Source organism: Homo sapiens, chromosome 10 (assembly GCF_000001405.40).
Source record: "Homo sapiens chromosome 10, GRCh38.p14 Primary Assembly".
In the NCBI taxonomy this organism is placed as follows: Eukaryota; Metazoa; Chordata; class Mammalia; order Primates; family Hominidae; genus Homo; species Homo sapiens.
The window spans coordinates 12,386,312-12,404,057 of NC_000010.11; the positions used below are offsets into that span (position 1 = coordinate 12,386,312).

The window sequence follows — 17,746 nt, forward strand, 5'->3', positions numbered from 1 at the left end:
GCCTATGGTCCCAGCTACTCTGGAGACCAATAGGAGGATTGCTTGAAGCCCAGAGGTGGAGGTTGCAGTGAGCTGAGATTGTACCACTCCACTGCACTCCAGCCTGGGCCACAAACTGACAAACTCTGTCTCAAAAAAAACAAAACCAAAAACCCTGTCTCAAAAAAAAAAAAAATGAAACTGCTAATTTAATAATGTAAAATAAACTGTGGCACATCAATATTATGGGATACTCTGCAGACTTTAAGTTGCGATGCAGAATGTTATTGAAGGACGTGGGCAGACAATATACTGCTTAATGTAAAAAATAAGTTAACAAATAATATGATCCCAATTTTGTGGAAGAACATTTGTAATTATATTTATAGGGAGAGGGCTGGAAGTGTGTGTGTACATTCACGATATTAACAGCAGTCATCTGAAGGTGATGAAATGACAGATGACTTTAATTTTCTCCTTCTTGCCTTGCTGTGTATCCTAGATTTTCTATAATAATCATGTACTAGTTAGCAGAAAAAGAAGTTTGAAGTAAATTCACATACAATATAATGTTTTGATACTTTAATAAAAAATAATAATAATGTAGAACTACGAAGATAACTTTACTCAGCCGGGCGCAGTAGCTCACGCCTGTAATCCCAGCACTTTGGGAAGCTGAGGCGGGTGGATCACTTGAGGTCAGGTGTTTGAGACCAGCCTGGCCAACATGGTGAAACCCCGTCTCTACTAAAAATACAAAAAAATTAGCCAGGTGTGATGGCGGGCACCTGTAGTCCCAGCTACTCAGGAGGGTGAGGCAGGAGAATTGCTTAAACCCAGGAGGCGGATGTTGCAGTGAGCTGAGATTGCACCACTGCCCTCCAGCCTGGGCGTCCAAGAGAGACTCCATCTCAAAAAAAAAAAAAAAGTTACCGTTACATATTTCATTTTACAATTATTGCTATTCATAGAGTAGTGACAGCCTTCACGCTTTGACACTCACATTATATGTATAATATATAATGGCTAACTTTCATTGAGTTTGAGATATATATATTATATTTTATATATATAATATATATATTATATATTATATATATTATATATTTTTATATATTATATATATTTTATATATTTTATATATTATATATATTTTATATATATATATATATATAGACATTGTAAACTCTTAATGAAAGTTATATTATGTGTATCTCGGTTGCTTTTTTTTTTTGAGACAGGGTCTGGCTCCGTGGCCCAGGCTGGAGTGCAGTGGTGCAATCTCGGCTCACTGCAACTTCCACCCACAAGGCTCAAGTGACCCTCCCACTTCAGCCTCCTGAGTAGCTGGAACCCTGGCTAATTTTTGTATTTTGTTTGGTAGAGATGGGTTCTCGCTATGTTGCTCAGCTTGGTCTCAAACTCCTGTGCTCAAGCGATCCGCCCACCCCAGCCTCCTAAAATGCTAGCATTACAGGCATGCGCTACCGTACCTGGCCTGTGTGTGTATCTTTATGTCATAATAATTGCTCAATAAATGCTAACTATCCTCTATCGGGATGTAAGTTCTGAACTATTTTATTCATTGTGAAAGACTGGGCTCAAAAATTTCCCTTTCGCCCCTGCTGGCGCCCCACCAATGCTTAGTTGCTGTCATGAGTGAGTGAGCAGATGGAGCCCACTGTGGGAGGGAAGAAGCCTCAGCTCTTTTCTCCCCTGGGAACCTCCCTTTCTGTAGGCATCTTGCCAGCCAGGCATCTTTGCTTGTTCTTTGAGTAGGTTGAGGTGACTCTCAGGAGGCTTCTGGGATCGTCTCCAGAAATGCGCTCACCAAAGAAGACCCTGGCTCAGCCTCCCAAGTAGCTGGAAGTACAGGCGTGTGTGTGCCGCCGCACCTGGCTAATTTTTGCGTTTTTAGTAGAGATGGGGTTTTGTCATGTTGGCCAGGCTGATCTCGAACTCCTGACCTCAGGTGATCCGCTGGCCTTGACCTCCCAAAGTGCTGAGATTACACGTGTGAGCCACCGTGCCCGGCCCAAGCCCTTGTTACTGTCGAATTCTCCCCGAATCAACCTTGAAACTTAACCAGTTTTCTTGCTTTCAGCTTTTCCCCCAGACTCCAGCTTCTAGATTCTCTGTCTGTCAATAAGAGTGTCGAGGTTTAGAGCAGAGGCAAAAACTGGTTTACAGCAGAGAAAAAAGCCTTCATCTACGCTGGTGTGCCTTCTTGGCCCAGGAAATGTTTTTGGCAGTCTGAGTGTTTTGTCTTCTCTGTTGGGGGCTGTTAAGAGGCACAAGAAAACATACCTGTCTGCTAATTGCAGAGGTTAAAAGGCAAGAGCAAAAACACATCGCACCTGACATGCGTTTCAAATTAATAAATTGTTAAAAATGCCTACTTGGGAGACTTCTGCGGGGCTCAAAGACAGCTCCGTCATTACCTGGGGCTAGAGGCTCCAGCAGTTTTTCAGATACTGTGTGGCAATGCGAGGTTTGTCTGCTGTGAAGGGAAAACCATCCCACCGCTTAGGAAGTCGTGAGATGCAGCACGAATGTGATTTTGTTACCACGCTCCCCTGGAGGCACGTCGTGCTGTTCTAGAAAGCCTGTCGTTGGAGGAAAACACTTGATGAGCCTGCGGTAAAGGCGTGGCTTGCGATTTCACTTGGGAAGCACATTGTCGTGTCGTCTGTGTGATTTACATCCCGCAGCTGATGGAGACACCACCATACTCCATGGAAGGTCCTTCCTGTCCGATCTGTCCAAGGTCTGGAGGAAGAGGCGAGATGGGTCAACTGTGAGCTTCCATCAGCTTCTGCTTAGAGAGAGGCTAATTATTTGGGTTTCTGGTGATTCCACCAGCTCCAGATTTAAGTGTTCTCTATGCTAGGGTGGCGTGGGGGTGTGTGTGGTCAGTTACTGCTTAAACTCCCTGCAGAGGGGGCTGAGGGGCTTGGGTGGCAGGTGGTTGGCGGTGGCGCGTGCCAGCCCCGGGTCTGTGCCTAGACCAAGGCTCATGTTCTGCCCATTGCTCTTGGGACAGGCTCTTTGGGACATCAAGGATTCTGGGACCATCCCGACACTGCTCTCCTTGGGGTGCGTGGCCAGAGGTGTCTTCAGGCTTCAAGGAGAGGTGCTCAGTGCAGGAGACTCAGCTTCTGCCCAGCACCACAGGGTCGAGGGCTTGGAGCATCCAGGTGGTTTCATCCAGGCCTGAGTGAGAACGTGACCTAGTTACTGTGCCTCTCTGCACGTTGGCAGAATAAACAGACCTTGCTTCCTTCCCTACTCACAGCAAGCAGAATTCTGCTGAGCCTCTCGGAGGCTGGAGGGCCGGTTTTAGTAACGTGCCCTTTCCTGGTTGGCGACCGTCCAGTTATTTTGGGTGAATGTTAATGGCCGTGAGTTTGAAAGTTGTAGTTAGATGAAAACGCCCTCTCTGGACACAGTGTCCTTGTCACCTACTGTCTGAAGGTGCTTCCTTTTTGGGGAATAGGATTGAGAGCAAAATGGTCACAAAATCTGTGGCTTTGGATTGTCATTTGATTTTTTTTTTTTGATGCCTTCTGTCTGCATTTAGGTCAGTGGAAGGGATGAATTCATCATAGGCACTTGTAGTAGAACATCTCCTTGAGCCTCAAAGAGAAGGCTATTTTTCCTGTGGGTCATCTTTGTGCTGTGCATGGGAGGTCCTGCCCCATGGGGCAAGGTGAGTTTAACTTTTGGAGGTGGCTGGTGATCTTGGGGGGAATTTAATTTGAGGACATGTGCATGACCAATAAACTGTTCTGGAGGAATGAATAGTCCTGTGTCTCCCATATTTTTACCTTTTATAAAGCGCTTGTACTGCACGGTGTCCTTATTCTAGGCTGATGCAAAATTTTCATACTGCATTTGCTAGTGATTTGCACCAGTGGCCGAAGAACTATAAAGTAGTTGTCTCTATTTTTTAAAAATTAAAAAAAAAGATGGGGTCTTGCTCCATTGCCTAGACTGGTCTCAAACTCCTGGCCTCAAGTGATCCTCCTGTCTCAGCTTCCTAATTGCTGGGATTATAGGAACGAGCCACTTTGCTCAACCTTAGTTTCTGTTTTATTCAGAATGGAAGGAATTTCTCATATAAGTAGAATTCTAGAGCTAGAAGAGACATTGTATCTCTAGCTCTGTCTCTGTCTTTATCTCTGTCACTATATCTGTCTCTGCGTCTGTCTCTAAACTGTCTTTATCATCAGGCACAGAAAGTTAAGCCCCATTATTCAAGATCCTACAACTAGTTGAGGGTAGAATAGGGTCCATTGTGCCCAGGCAAAACCCAGGTAAGAGTGCAGGGCCAGGGCTAACCATGAGCTCCGGGACTTGTGCAGCCTGCCTGTTTCCAGTCTGTGTGTTCCCCCTTGGGTCATGTCACGTGGGAGCAGAAGCTTCTAGTCGAACGTGTAAAGGACCCAAGAGGAAAGGGGAGCCCAGAAGGGTTGAGGGACTTGCCTGAGATCACACAGCTAGTGAGCGAGTCACCTATCCAAGCCTGGAATACGGGTCCAGCTGTCCCCACGGAGCCATCCTTCTGGCCCACTAGATTCAGAATGAACTCAGGCTCAAGCGTGCGTGAATAAGAGGATGCTGTGCATAGTCCTGACTTTATGAATCAACTTGATGAGATTCTGTGTGGGGTCAACTAATGTGCTCAGAGTCCAGCATTGAGTGAGTAGGAGGTGGGAAGGGGTCCAAGCTCAGTTCTGGCAAAAACTCCAGAGCTCAGTGTTGGGCCAACACTGTCTTCTCTCGTGAATGAGGAAAACCCTTTCTCAGGCCATGATACGTTGGTATCTCAGTCTTTTGGCCATGAAGGGTAGAGGGGAAAGATTGAACTTTTAAGATCTTTGCCTGGATTCTTGTTATTCTCAATACAAAATAAAATACTTTAACTTCAAGCTCGTGTGGGGCCCTGGGAACAAGCTGTAGGTGTGCGCTTTTTTTTCTCTGATTAAATTGGAATCACTATGTAAATTAACTTTCCAGGGGATTGTCTGTGGGAATTCCTAAAGCAGTCTTAGGTCGGTATGACACGTGAAGAAAATACATCAAGCAATCAATCTTAGAAGCTTATCTTCTATTCAGGGTTTCCACAGGAAGGCAGTTTCACCCCAGCTGGGATCACCGGTTGCTTTTCACATTCTTAATTCTTTTGCCAATTTTCCAGATGCCTGTGGAAATTCATGCTGACCGTTTTTTTTAAAAAAAATTCCATTTTAAGTACTGAATATTTTCCTGTCACTACTTAAACTGGCATGAATAAAATATTCCCTTTCGGGAGGATGATTTTCAAATGTTTCTTAAAGAAAAACAAAACACCCTAGTCGGTTAAATTTAGGAGGTCTGTTAAAATGTCCTTACAGTACCAGCAGGTGAATTTGAGAATAAGAATTCTATCTTCCTCACAGTGCCATATACAGTGCACTGTAATGGCAAGCATAAGGAAATTAGGAAGACTAGAACCGAATCATCCAGGACTCAAAATAGAGTTTCTCCCTCAGAACAATCTGGGGTATCTATACTAAATTTATGGGATAGTTACTGTCATTAACAGCTCATATAACTGAAAATGGTGAAATGATTTGAAAATCAGATAAATGGTAATTGCACCACTGCACTCCAGCCTGGATAGCAGAGCGAGACTTGTCTTAAAACACACACACACACACACACACACACACACACACACACACAAACAGTCTGGGTATGGTGGCTCACACCTATAATCCTAGCACTTTGGGAGGCCAAGGTGGTGGATCACCTGTGGTCAGGAGTTCGAGACCAGCCTGACCAACATGGTGAAACTCCGTTTCTACTAAACATACAAAATTAGCCGGGTGCAGTGGTGTGCACCTTTAATCCCAGCTACTCGGGAGGCTGAGGCAGGAGAATCACTGGAACCCAGGAGGTGGAGGCTGCAGTGAGCCGAGATGGTGCCATTGCACTCCAGCCTGGGTGATACAGCAAGACTCTGTCTCAAAAAAACAAAACAAAATCAAAAATCAAAAACAAAAAACATAACAAAACCCCCACAACTCCTCCTTCCCTCTCCCCCCAGCCCCTGACACCTACCATTCTACTTTGTTCCTGAATTTATCTACTCTAAGGACTTCCCATAAGTAGCATCATACAGTACTTAGCCTGTTGAGATTACCTTATTCTACTCAGCATAATTTCCTTATGGTTCATCTACATTATAGCATTTGTCAGAATTTTCTTCCTTTTTATTTATTATCATGTACCATATGTTATTTGGAAATACGTATACACTGTGGAATGACTAAATTGATCTAGTTAATATATGTATTACTTAACATACTTGTTTTGTAGTGAGAATGCTTAAAATCTACTGTCTTAGCAATTTTTGAGAGCATATACATTGTTATTGAGCATAGTCACTATGTTGTACAATAGATCTCTCGAACTTTTTCCTCCCAGCTGAAATTTTGTATCCTTTGACAAAAGTCTCCCCAACCCCCTGACCCCCAGGCCCAGGTAACCACCATATTACATTCTAGTGAAAAAACAACTTCATTAGAAATTTTGATGAGTTTAAACATAGTAAGCCTCAATTTTTCTTCCAAATTTTCCTAGTTTTGAAAGTATACACACACACAACACACACACACATACCCTGATCTGGACCAGGTTCTTAGCTACAACTGACTGCTCATCGACTGTCATGAATGGATCTGAAACATAACTTTTTTTTTTTTTTTCTTTTTTGAGACACAGTTTTGCTCTGTTGCCCAGGCTGGAGTGCAGTGGTGCAATCTCTGCTCACTCCAAGCTCCGCCTCCCGGGTTCACGCCATTCTCCTGCCTCAGCCTCCCAAGTAGCTGGGACTACAGGCGCCCACCACCATGCCTGGCTAATTTTTTGTATTTTAAGTAGAGATGGGGTTTCACCATGTTAGTCAGGATGGTCTCGATCTCCTGACCTTGTGATCCGCACGCCTCGGCCTCCCAAAGTGCTGAGATTACAGGCGTGAGACACTGCGCCTGGCCTTTTCTTCCTTTTTTAAGGAATACATTTTCTTTTAGCTCCTACTGAATGCAACTCATGGTGCTAGGCTCTCTGAGAGAGGCAAAAACATTTCACTCAAGGAACTCATAGTGTTATGGGTGAAAAGAATGGAAAACACGGCAAGCGTTTTAGATGTGTGTTACCACCATCTGTCCTCCTGACCTCAGTGAGATGGGGTCAGACATTTTAATTTTCTCACCCAGGGACATTCAGCGAATTAAGTGGCTGAGTTGAGCTTCAGGCCCAGCTTTGGGAGACACTCCCTGTATCCTGTAAGCAGAGACCAAATCAATGCTGTGTGAGTTTAGAGATGGAGACACCCAGCCCACCTGGGGGAAGACATGATGGACGCGTGAGCATGTGTCCAAACTTGAGGCATGGGGAAGTGTCCTGCTCTGAAGGTGGGGACGGTGGCTGAGCAGACATGCCGGCCAGAACACTACCCTGAAGATGACAGTGTTGACATCAAGGGCGGGAGGTGAAGGAAAATGGCAGCTTACGCTCCACACCTCACACGTGTGTGGGTTTTTCCTTCTCATTAAGCAGTTCTCCAGTTCTTGGACACCTGTGTGTCCTAGAATTCACCTGTGACACTGACTATGTGCAGGTATTGCAGACCCCCCAGGTTGAGGGCAGTTCCACAAGACCGCTCCCGACACCCCCTCCGCTTCAGACGCCAGTCACAAGTCCTAGGTTGCGGCTCGTGCTTTTGGCCGACTGGCCATCCTTTGAGGGTTCACACCATCCCAACACACGTTTGATCGTTTGCGATAATGGCTCACAGAATCTAGGGAGACACTTATGTTTACAGTTGTATTATGACAAATACAACTCAGGAACAGCCAAATAGAAGAGTTGCATGGGGCGAGGTGTAGGGTGGGGTGAGGTAGCAGGGGAGCGTGCCGTCCTCTCCGGGTGCCCCACCTCCCTCATATCCAGGTGTTCACCAACCAGAAACTCCCCAGACCTCTCCAATTAGGGTTTTTATGGAGATTCCATGATTGATGTAAATCACTGGTCATTGGTGACTGACTCAACCTCCAGTGCCTCTCCCCTTTCTGGACTGGCAAATTCCAACCCTCTCTCATCACCTGGTTGGTTCCCCTGGTAACCAGCCCCCCTTTTCCAAGAGTCACCGCATTGGCATAAACTTAGGTATGCTTGAAAGGGGCTTATGATGAATAACAAGAGATGTTCCTTTCACCCCATCACTCCAAATTCCAAGGGCTTTCGGAGGTCTGTGCTAGGAGCCACAGGCAGACACCAAAGATAGATTTCTTACCCTGCCACACCTGGGAGGTGGTAGCGTTGACATCAAGGGTGGGAGGAGATTAGCAAGCTGGGCATGAAGGAACCAGTGGGAAACCAGGTTAGAAAGGGGGGTAAAGGTCAGATCATGATGGGTTTTGAGTTCTAGGCTAAAGTGTTTATAGTGTTAGCTCGTGACACATCCAGGATGTGGAAACATGAGCAGAACTGAGCCTTGGAAAATGACCTCAGAGCCTGTAGCAGGGCTGTGATCTGGACCTGGACCAGTGTGGTGGCAGGCAGGAAAGAGGCTGCGTGCAGGAGGCCTTGGAGGGCAGGGCTGGGACATGGTGCTGGCCCAGGTGAGCTCACCCATCTCAGCATGGTGTGCCTCCAACTTGGGGTGCACTTTGTAGCTGCTTACTGAGGGTAAACAGTTACACTTATTTTATTTTTTTAAAATTTTAATTTTTTTTTTTTTTTTTTTTTGCAGAGACAGGGTCTCACTCTATTGCCCAGGCTGGAGTGCAGTGGTGCGATCATAGCTAACTGCAGCCTCCAACTCCTGGGTTCAAGCAGTCCTCCCACCTCAGTCTCCCAGGTAGCTAGGTGCATACCACTACGCCCAAGTAATTTTTTTTAATTAATTTTTTTTTGTAGAGACCAGGGGGTCCCAAACCCTTGGCCTCAAGTGATCCCCTTGACCTGCAGCCCCCGCCTCCGCAGAGGTTTGGGAATGGGGCTGAAATTCCCAACCCTCTAATCCTGCCTTGGTTTTTGAAGTGCCTAGCTCCCATCCTGAAGCCACCTAGGGAATCTCAGCCACCAGTCACCTCATTAGCCCACAAAAGACATCACTGTGGAGGTTCCAAGGATTGTTGTATGCCAGGAAACTTTAAGACAAAATAAATATTTTTCAGTATCATAAAGGGCCACCAGGATCAGGCTGGAATTCAGGGCTTCTGACACCTAATGTAAGTGAGGAATGTTCTGTTAGCTTCTGGGGAAAACTTACTGTAGAAGGGTTGGTTTTTCGGCCAGGCGAAGTGGGTCACGCCTGTAATCCCAGCATTCTGGGAGGCCGAGGTTGGTGAATTACTTGAGGTCAGGAGTTCGAGACCAGCCTAGCCAACATGGTGAAAAATACAAAAATTAGCCATCTCTATGAAAAATACAAAAATTAGCCGGGCATGGTGGTGCGTGCCGGTAGTTCCAGCTACTTAGGAGGCTGAGGCAGGAGAATTGCATGAACCCAGGAGGCGGAGGTTGCTGTGGGCCGTGATTGCACCACTGCACTCCAGCCTGGGCAACAGAGTGAGACTCCGTCTCAAGAAACAAAAAACAAAAGGGTTGTTAACCTCTGCCTCCTGGGTTCAAGCGATTCTCCTGCCTCAGCCTCCCGAGTAGCTGGGATTACAGGTGCCCGCCACCACACCTGGCTAATTTTTGTATTTTTAGTAGAGACAGGGTTTCATCATGTTGGCCAGGCTGGCCTCCAACTCCTGACCTCAGGTGAATCACCCACCTCGGCCTCCCAAAGTGCTGGGCTTACAGGCGTGAGCCACTGTGCCTGGTCAAAAGAGTTGTTTTTTAAGTGTTCAGTAGCCCCCGGTCCAGGGCTCCTTAACTCGGAGCAGCAGTGAATTTGGAAGGTCAGCCCCTCTCCTGCTGGGCGCTGCTGGTGTCCTGTCTTCTTTACTATTGTGTCCGCATCATTGTCCACTGTTCCTCTTGGGGAGGTAAGAACTTGGGGAACGGTTGCCAAAATCGTCATTTTTCTCGTGACTGCTGTTGGGGTTTTCTCCCTCTCAGGGCTTATGCCCAGGGATAATGGGTTCATTCTGGGCCCTCCAACCAGAGTCTTCATGAGTCTCTGGCTTAACCCCCTTTTTGCCATATGCTGTGGGGGAAAAGTAGCCCTCCACTGGAGAACACTTCTTCCAGGCCCTCTGTGATGTAAGGGCTATGTAGAAGGTATTTGATCTCTTTTCTGTTGCTTTGCTATCTCAACTTTCTGTCTAGGCTTCAGCTGAGCAGATCCTTGAAATTGGCTTAAACAAGCACTTACAATCTTCTTTGAGTTAAGATCAAGTGTGTTGGCAGCTCCTGCAGGCTGTGCCTCTGCCCTTCTCCCCGCAGCAGCTGTTGCTGGTTCAGCTTAGCACTTCCAGCCACGTAGGCTCCCCGTGGCCATGTCCACGTCCACTGGGCAGGCTCCTTGCCTGGTGTGTCAGAGCCCTACCTTCTGCTCTTCCTGAGGTTTGGGTTTTTAACTCAGTCGTAAGGAGCTGAATGAGGGGCCCAGGAAGACGCTGATTTTATGCACCATCTCTGTGTTTGGCCCACAGCTGTGTTTGTGTGATTTTAAAACAATTTATCGCTCATCTCGACTGGGCCCTGTCGGCTGACCCAGCTCCTCCGCAGCCATTGGTAATCTCCATTTTAATTAATCTTTCAAAGAAGCAGATTAAGTTGATTGCTTCCCAAGCTGAGTTTGGTGTCTGTACCTTTCAGCTGCCTTACAGAAGTGATTAAAATAAGGATTTTTCTATGAGCTTTGGTGCCCAGTTAAGATTATTTTTGGATCTCGTCTCAATGGTTTATTTCCATCATGTGCCTGTTTTTAACATAAGAGCTGAAAATGAGCGGGGCTGGTTTTTGTCTCCTGCAGGTGTTCTGTTCTTTCAAGCGCCCTAGGATGGCCATGACCTTTGGTTCCGTCTGCTTTGTGTGTCCTTGACCCTTGGAGCCTTCTAAGGTAGCCCTGCTGAGTCACTAACATGGAGTCACACCTTTTTTCTTCCAGTCCTGGCTTCTCTTCCCCCACACGGCTTTGCAGATAAAACCATTTATTCTTGACCTACCCAAGCGGAGGTCCTGTAGGCCACTCTCCCCAGTCCTAACTCTAGCCCTGAATTGAACAGACTGCATTGAAAATGTTGGTTACCTGTCAGTTTCCTCTTCCGCTGTGCCGTCCTTGAGGGGAGGGCTAGTATTTCAGCCATCCCTGTGACCCTGGGGCCTAGGTGAGTGCCTGGTACACCAGGAAGCGCTCAGTGATGGTCTCTTGAATGAGTGAACCTCCTTGAAGTGCACAGAAAAATTGACTGAAGAGGGTGAGTGTTGCTTAGAGCCAAGGTAGTAGGAAAAATGTTGGCCTAAAGATGTGTTTAGTTTGGCTTGCATGCTGTTGAAAAGTTTTTGAATCAACATACCAGAAAAAATCGCAGGTAAACTGTACATTGAAAATCCAGATTTCCAGCTTCTCTTGAAAAATGTAAAGACCTGGCCTAGGCTGGAACTGAGGGGTGAGCTTCTTTTCGAGGGGCCCAACTCGGCTTTTTATTCACCTGATTTCTAAAATAATTTTGTAAAGCCGTCTACCCCCTCCCACACTTTGAGTTGATAGCCAAAATTTTTCATCGTAACTTGAGAGAGGCAAAGGATGTTATTTCCAGAGTATTGTAAATATTGGCATCTTGAAATAAAACAGTTACATCATTATTTTAAGTGTAACCAGTGGAGCTAAATACCACAGAGATTTGATACCCACTGTCATCCATTTAAAAAGAAGCTCATCTTTAACCACTGGAATTTCTACCTCATTCTTTTTTTTTCTTTAGAGTCATATTCTATTCTCATAGAATTTTATCCTAGGATATTATATTTGTTCTTGCCAAAAATATGTATATACATTTAAATTAAGTTTCCTGTGGCTAGAGGGCCTACATATTTTCAAAGCTTCTTGTATTTATTTCTTTATTTTTAGAGATGGAGTTTCACTCTTGTTGCCCAGGCTGGAGTGCAGTGGTGCGGTCTCAGCTCACTGCAACCGCTGCCTCCGGAGTTCGAGTGATTCTCCTGCCTCAGACTCCTGAGTAGCTGGGATTACAGGTGCCTGCCACTATGCCTGGCTAATTTTTATATTTTTAGAAGAGACGGGGTTTCACCATGTTGGCCAGGCTGGTCTTGAACTCCTGACCTCAGGTGATCCGCCCGCCTCGGCCTCCCAAAGTGCTAGGATTACGGGCATGAGCCACCGTGCCCAGCCCAAAAGTTGTTGTATTTAGTTATTGTGATGATGATTCTACATTTGAACAAAACAAAGATATTATAAATTTTGATAAATAAAAGGAGAATATAGAATTTATTTGGAAATATATCTCCTAATAAAAATCCATAGAGTTTTTGGGGTCTTTTTTTTTTCTTTCAGTTGTTTGATATGGATGAAGATTACTCATTGCTGGGATAAGGAGGTCAGAATTAGTCCTTTTCCTATTTTTGTGTTTTTATAGATGTTAGTACAAAGAAACCAGATGTAACTGAGTAGATGGGATAGGAGTTTTTCATAGCAGTCCCTCAGTGAGTTCTTTGGACTCTTGCCGATTTCTGTGTCACATTATTTATTCTGCCTGCATCACAGTTGCTGCTGTTAGCCTTTTCCTTTCTAGCAGGTCTCTCTTGAGTGGAAGGAGCATGCCCTACTGGGAATGGTATTGAAATATGCATAGAGGTGGGTGAAGGTGGTATGGGAGTGCTCTCAAACCATGGTCTCCTTGAGGCTTACTGGTGTGAGGGAGTGGGAGGTAGTCCCCAAGTATATCCAGGAAGATAAAAGTTGAGGGCCGGCTGGGCGTGGTGGCTCACACCTGTAATCCAGCACTTTGGGAGGCCGAGGCAGTGGATCACCTGAGGTCAGGAGTTTGGACCAGCCTGGCCAACATGGTGAAACCCTGTCTCTACTAAAAATACAAAAATTAGCTGGGTGTGGTGGCAGGCGCCTGTAATCCCAGCTACTTGGGAGGCTGAGGCAGGAGAATCACTTGAACTTGGGAGGTGGAGGTTGCAGTGAGCTGAGATCGCACCACTGCACTCTTGCCTGGGTGACAGAGCAAGACTCCGTCTGAAAAAAAAAAAAGAAGTTGAGGGTCATTGCTGGACTGCAGGGTTCCTAAGGATAGGAGCCACACCATGGCTTAGATCTGTTGGGACACCCCTACTATGACACCTAATGAAGGGGTTTGCACTATATGCCAGTAATGTCATAAGAGTAAAACAAACTATAGTGCTTCCACAGTTTTTGTGGATTCTGTATTTGCAAATTCACCTATTCACTAAAATGTATTTGCATTTTTGTTGGTGATTTTGCTGCTTAAAGTAGCCCCAAGCATAGTTCAGAAGTGTCTAGTGTTCCTAAGTGTGGAAAGGCTGTAAGGTACCTTGCAGAGAAAATTTGTAATGTTAGTTTCTTCAAGCATGAGTTGTGGTGCTGATGGCTGTGAGTTCAATATTAATGAATCAACAATATGTGTTAAATGACATGTCTTTAAACAGAAACACACATAAAGCAAAGTTCTATATTGGTGAGATGATGTGACTAGAGAGGCCTGTAGGAACCTAGTCCTGTTTCTCCCCTAGGAGCAATGGTTCAGTATTGGCTAATACGGCATTCACGGCAACTTCTGAAAACATAACTACTGCAGATGATGTGACGCGATGGGATGTCATTTGCGCCTGGATGTTACGACTTTAGGAATTTAAGAAATAATTTCAGGATAATGTCTAGGTAGGTAGGTTTTTAACTCGGAATTTCAAGGGAGTGGCAAGCATTTAATTTTTACAAGACAGTCTTTGGAAGCAGTCCCCTAACAGAGTGGCAACCATTGGAAAGTCTTCTGAGTGCATCCAAAGGAGGATTTCTAATGATGGGAAGTGCCTTTGCCGTTTAAACTTCACTGTGAGCTCACTTCTTGCTGCGTACCTAAAGTCTGAGCAGTCAAGCGAAGTGCTGAGTAAGGAGAAGAGCATCTCAGTGACTCTTTTATTATTTGACTATAGCTTATATCACCGGAAGATAAAAGACCTCAGAAGAGGAGTGCAGAGTTTGGAAGCTGCCCAAGACTCCCAATTTACATTCAGAACCGTGATTTATTCTCTGATTTCACGTAGCTTAAACTTTTTTCTTAATAGCCGCTAGCTCTACAAATTTTAATCCCTACTAAATAGTATATAAAATGTAATTGTCTTGATGTTGAGAACTTTATCTTCTGAGGGACTGAGTGTATTTTGAGATGTGACCTGATTTCTCTGGAATCCCCACTTGAGGGCTTTATGTTTTCACAGATGGAGACTTACAACTGTACCAGAGTGTGACGTAGGCCTCCAGGAAATGCGTTCTTCTGGTTTAATTCCTCTCATCCTTCAGGACAGACCTCTGGTCTAGCAGTACCTTTCCTGGGCCAGGCACAGTGGCTCGCACCTGTAAACCCAGAACTTTGGGAGGCCGAGGTGGGCAGATTGCTTGAGCCCAGGAGCTCAAGACCAACCTGTGCAATATAGCGAGGCCCCTGTCTCTACAAAACCAGAAAAACAAACAAAAAAGGAATGCCTTTTCTGTCTTTACCTTTCTCCTTTATAGATTGTTTTATAATATATAAATATATGTATTATATATATTATATATATATTTTATATATATAATATATGTATTATATATATTATATATATATTTTATATATATAATATATGTATTATATATATTATATATATATTTTATATATATATAATATATGTATTATATATATTATATATATATTTTATATATATATAATATATGTATTATATATATTATATATATATTTTATATATATATAATATATGTATTATATATATTATGTATATATTTTATATATATATAATATATGTATTATATATATTATGTATATATTTTATATATATATAATATATATAAAGCTCAAATCAGATTCCAGGCCTGATATACCTCCCCAAAGAAATTATAAAACCACCAGTTACTTTTCCTTCCCATGTATGTTGTCTCTCCTAATAGCTACTTAATCAGTCTGAGCCTCTACTTTGTTCTTGGGCCTGTGTTAGGTGCTGGGGGCACAAAAACAGCCAGTGCTGAGCCCTGGGGTCAGGGAGCACATTCCCTAGGGAGAAGGATCTGTACAACAGTGTGGAGGGGCTGGCAGATAGGGAGGCTCCCACAAGGAGCCTCAGAAGGGGGCCGTCAGGGTGCCTCAGTTTGTCTGGGAGACTCAGGGAAGGCTTCACAGAGGAGGTGAGCTGGGCCTGTGGCTTGAGGGATGGGTAGGAGTTTACCAGGTGAGCAAGAGAGAGAGGGCTTCCAAGCTGGTAGACCAGCTTTGGTCCTGAGACACAGAGGATGGATGAATGAGAAGACGGTCTGTTTTGGCATTCAGGCATGTATAGGGGAGTAGTGAGAGAGAAAGCTGAAAAGAGGCTTTGGTTGTCCGGGAATATATATATTCTCAGACTATATATATATATATATATGGACAGAATCTTGCTCTGTCACCCAGGCTGGAGTACAGTGGCGCGATCTCCGCTCATTGCAACCTCCGCCTGCCGGGTTCAAGCTATTCTCATGCCTCAGCCTCCCTAGTAGCTGGAATTACAGGTGGGTGCAACCATGCCCAGCTAATTTTTGTATATATATATATTTTTTTGAGATGGAGTCTCGCTCTGTCGCCTTGTGTTTTTAATAGAGACAGGGTTTTGCCATGTTGGCCAGGCTGGTCTCGAACTCCTGACCTCAAGTGATCTGCGTGCCTCGGCTTCCCAAAGTGCTGGGATTACAGGCACGAGCCACCGCGCCTGACTGCCATTTTTTGAGACAGCATTTCAATCTGTTGCTCAGGCTGGAGTGCAGTGATGTGATCACAGCTCACTTCAGTCTCTACCTCCCAGGCTCAATTGATCCTCCCACCTCAGCCTACTGGGTAGCTGGGACCACAGGCGGGCACCACCATGCCCAGCTAATTTTTGTTTTTTGTAGAGACAGGGTTTTGCCATGTTACTCGGGCTAGTCTCAAACTCCTGCTCTCAAGTGACCCGCCTGCCTCGGCCTCCCAAGTGGGACTTTTTATGCCACACTTAGTCATTTGGTTTTTATCCTGTCAGTGAGGAAATTAAACAGAAACATGATTAGCTTTTTTGTGTGTTTGAAAGACCACTTTGGAGCTGTCGTTAAAAAGTCTTAAGACTGGCGTTAGGGATTCCAGTTAAATTGCTCGTGGAGTCCTGGAACAGGGGAGTCAGGGAGAGGTTAGTGCCCCAAATCAGCAGTGGGGTTGGAGGGGCAGGATAGACAAAAGGATCCCTGAGGCAGTCACTTCATTGGGATCATTTTGGATTTAGGAGCATCAGTTGGAAGTGAAGGGCTAACAGGTCTCCTGCTTGGGTAATTGGTGATTGGTGCCTTCTACTGAGGATATACACAGGACCAGGTTTATGTGGGCAAAAGGTGATGAGTTCCAGATGCGCAGAATTGCGTGGATTGGAGAGACCTCAGCCTGGAGCTCTCCAGGGCTAGAATAAGATACATCATTCTGGCAGAAATACGGCTCCAGGATTATAACCTGCAAGCAGGCTTTTTTTTTTCCTTTTTCCCTTCGGTTTTGCTTTCTTGTTTTGCCTGCATTGTCTACTTAAGCAATTTATGTTGATCTGTTTGTTAGCAGAAAAGGAACAAGCAGCAAATGTGTGGAAGTACTCAGGAAGAAGGCAGAAGCCCTAATGATGCGATCTGAGGACCACGTTGGACACGTGAAGCCAGATGCAGTGAAAAGTTGTGAGCTGGTGTTTGAAAGTGATTTACAACAAGTTGGCATCCGCTTGCCAGCTTGTGTTCACATGGACATCTGCCCTGCAGAACTGCAGAATGGCTTAGAACACCGGTTCTGGTTTCAGGTGGACGTTGTTCACCCCTTCATGGGTGTGGGACCTTGGGTGAGTCCTCGCTCCGTGCCCACCTGTCTTTCTTGGATAAAGGTGATAATCGATCCCACTTTACTTGTGAGGATTCAGTGAGATGATTGATGATGTTTCTTAGCTCAGTTTCCAGAAGAGTGGGCACTCAAAAAATTGTCTCTTGAAGTATTTACATGAACAGCTATTCTATAAAGACTCAAAATTTACTATTGAATGTAAATCTGGGATGCAGAATTGGTTTTTTAGGTGATTTATTTTTCATTTATGAAGGCGTGCACCATAGAATTCCTGCAGAGAATGGGGATAGAAACCTCCCTGTTAATGCATTTAAAAATATTTGATTTGCAAAAAATTCAGTATACTTTAAAATAATTTTATTAATAATAATTTGTATTGTAACAACTATATTGTATAATGCATTGAACTTCTAAGTGTGTTTTTTCCCCCATCAGCATCTCAACTGTTCTTCCATAATAGGCCTTGAAGTAGGGTGGTTGTTTTGGCCCTGATGTTACCATTGCAGACGTGAGACTCATCCATGTCACAGAGCAGGTCCCTGGTTTCCCAGTTCTTGATATCTTGTGGCAGGTGGTAGTACTGGGGCCAATTGAAAACTTTCCTGTTGCTTTTGGAAAAAAAAAAAAGAAAAAAGATAAAAGAGACAAAAATGGGCATGTAGTTTTTTGAGCTTTTCTTTTTCTTTTTT

At 44.7% G+C, this 17,746-nt stretch overlaps 1 protein-coding gene across 7 annotated transcripts in view, besides 2 other annotated features; it reads left to right on the forward strand.

Moving 5' to 3' along the window:
* CAMK1D (calcium/calmodulin dependent protein kinase ID) overlaps nucleotides 1-17,746 on the forward strand; it is a 485,999-nt gene that overhangs the window by 36,765 nt on the left and 431,488 nt on the right. Inside the window, exons 1-3 of one of the 7 annotated variants that reach the window (NM_001351032.2) lie at nucleotides 2,671-2,776; nucleotides 3,560-3,688; nucleotides 16,791-17,058. The exons of 4 other annotated variants lie outside the window; for them this stretch is intronic. Coding sequence is in view for 1 of the 3 variants with exons in the window: in XM_011519591.4 (XP_011517893.1) it covers nucleotides 2,694-2,746 (53 nt within the window). In the remaining 2 variants the exon portion in view is untranslated. Of the gene's footprint in view, nucleotides 1-2,670; nucleotides 3,689-16,790; nucleotides 17,059-17,746 lie in introns of those variants that run through there. 2 more of the 7 variants (XM_047425537.1, XM_011519591.4) reach the window with 2 other exon arrangements.
* Nucleotides 1,931-2,430: an enhancer, noted in NCBI's record as "H3K4me1 hESC enhancer chr10:12430241-12430740 (GRCh37/hg19 assembly coordinates)". NCBI's record gives its function as "activates a minimal SCP1, AML or CMV promoter by ChIP-STARR-seq in primed H9 embryonic stem cells {active_cell/tissue: H9 hESC(primed)}" and the evidence as "EXISTENCE:reporter gene assay evidence [ECO:0000049][PMID:30033119]".
* Nucleotides 2,480-2,980: an enhancer, noted in NCBI's record as "H3K4me1 hESC enhancer chr10:12430790-12431290 (GRCh37/hg19 assembly coordinates)". NCBI's record gives its function as "activates a minimal SCP1, AML or CMV promoter by ChIP-STARR-seq in primed H9 embryonic stem cells {active_cell/tissue: H9 hESC(primed)}" and the evidence as "EXISTENCE:reporter gene assay evidence [ECO:0000049][PMID:30033119]".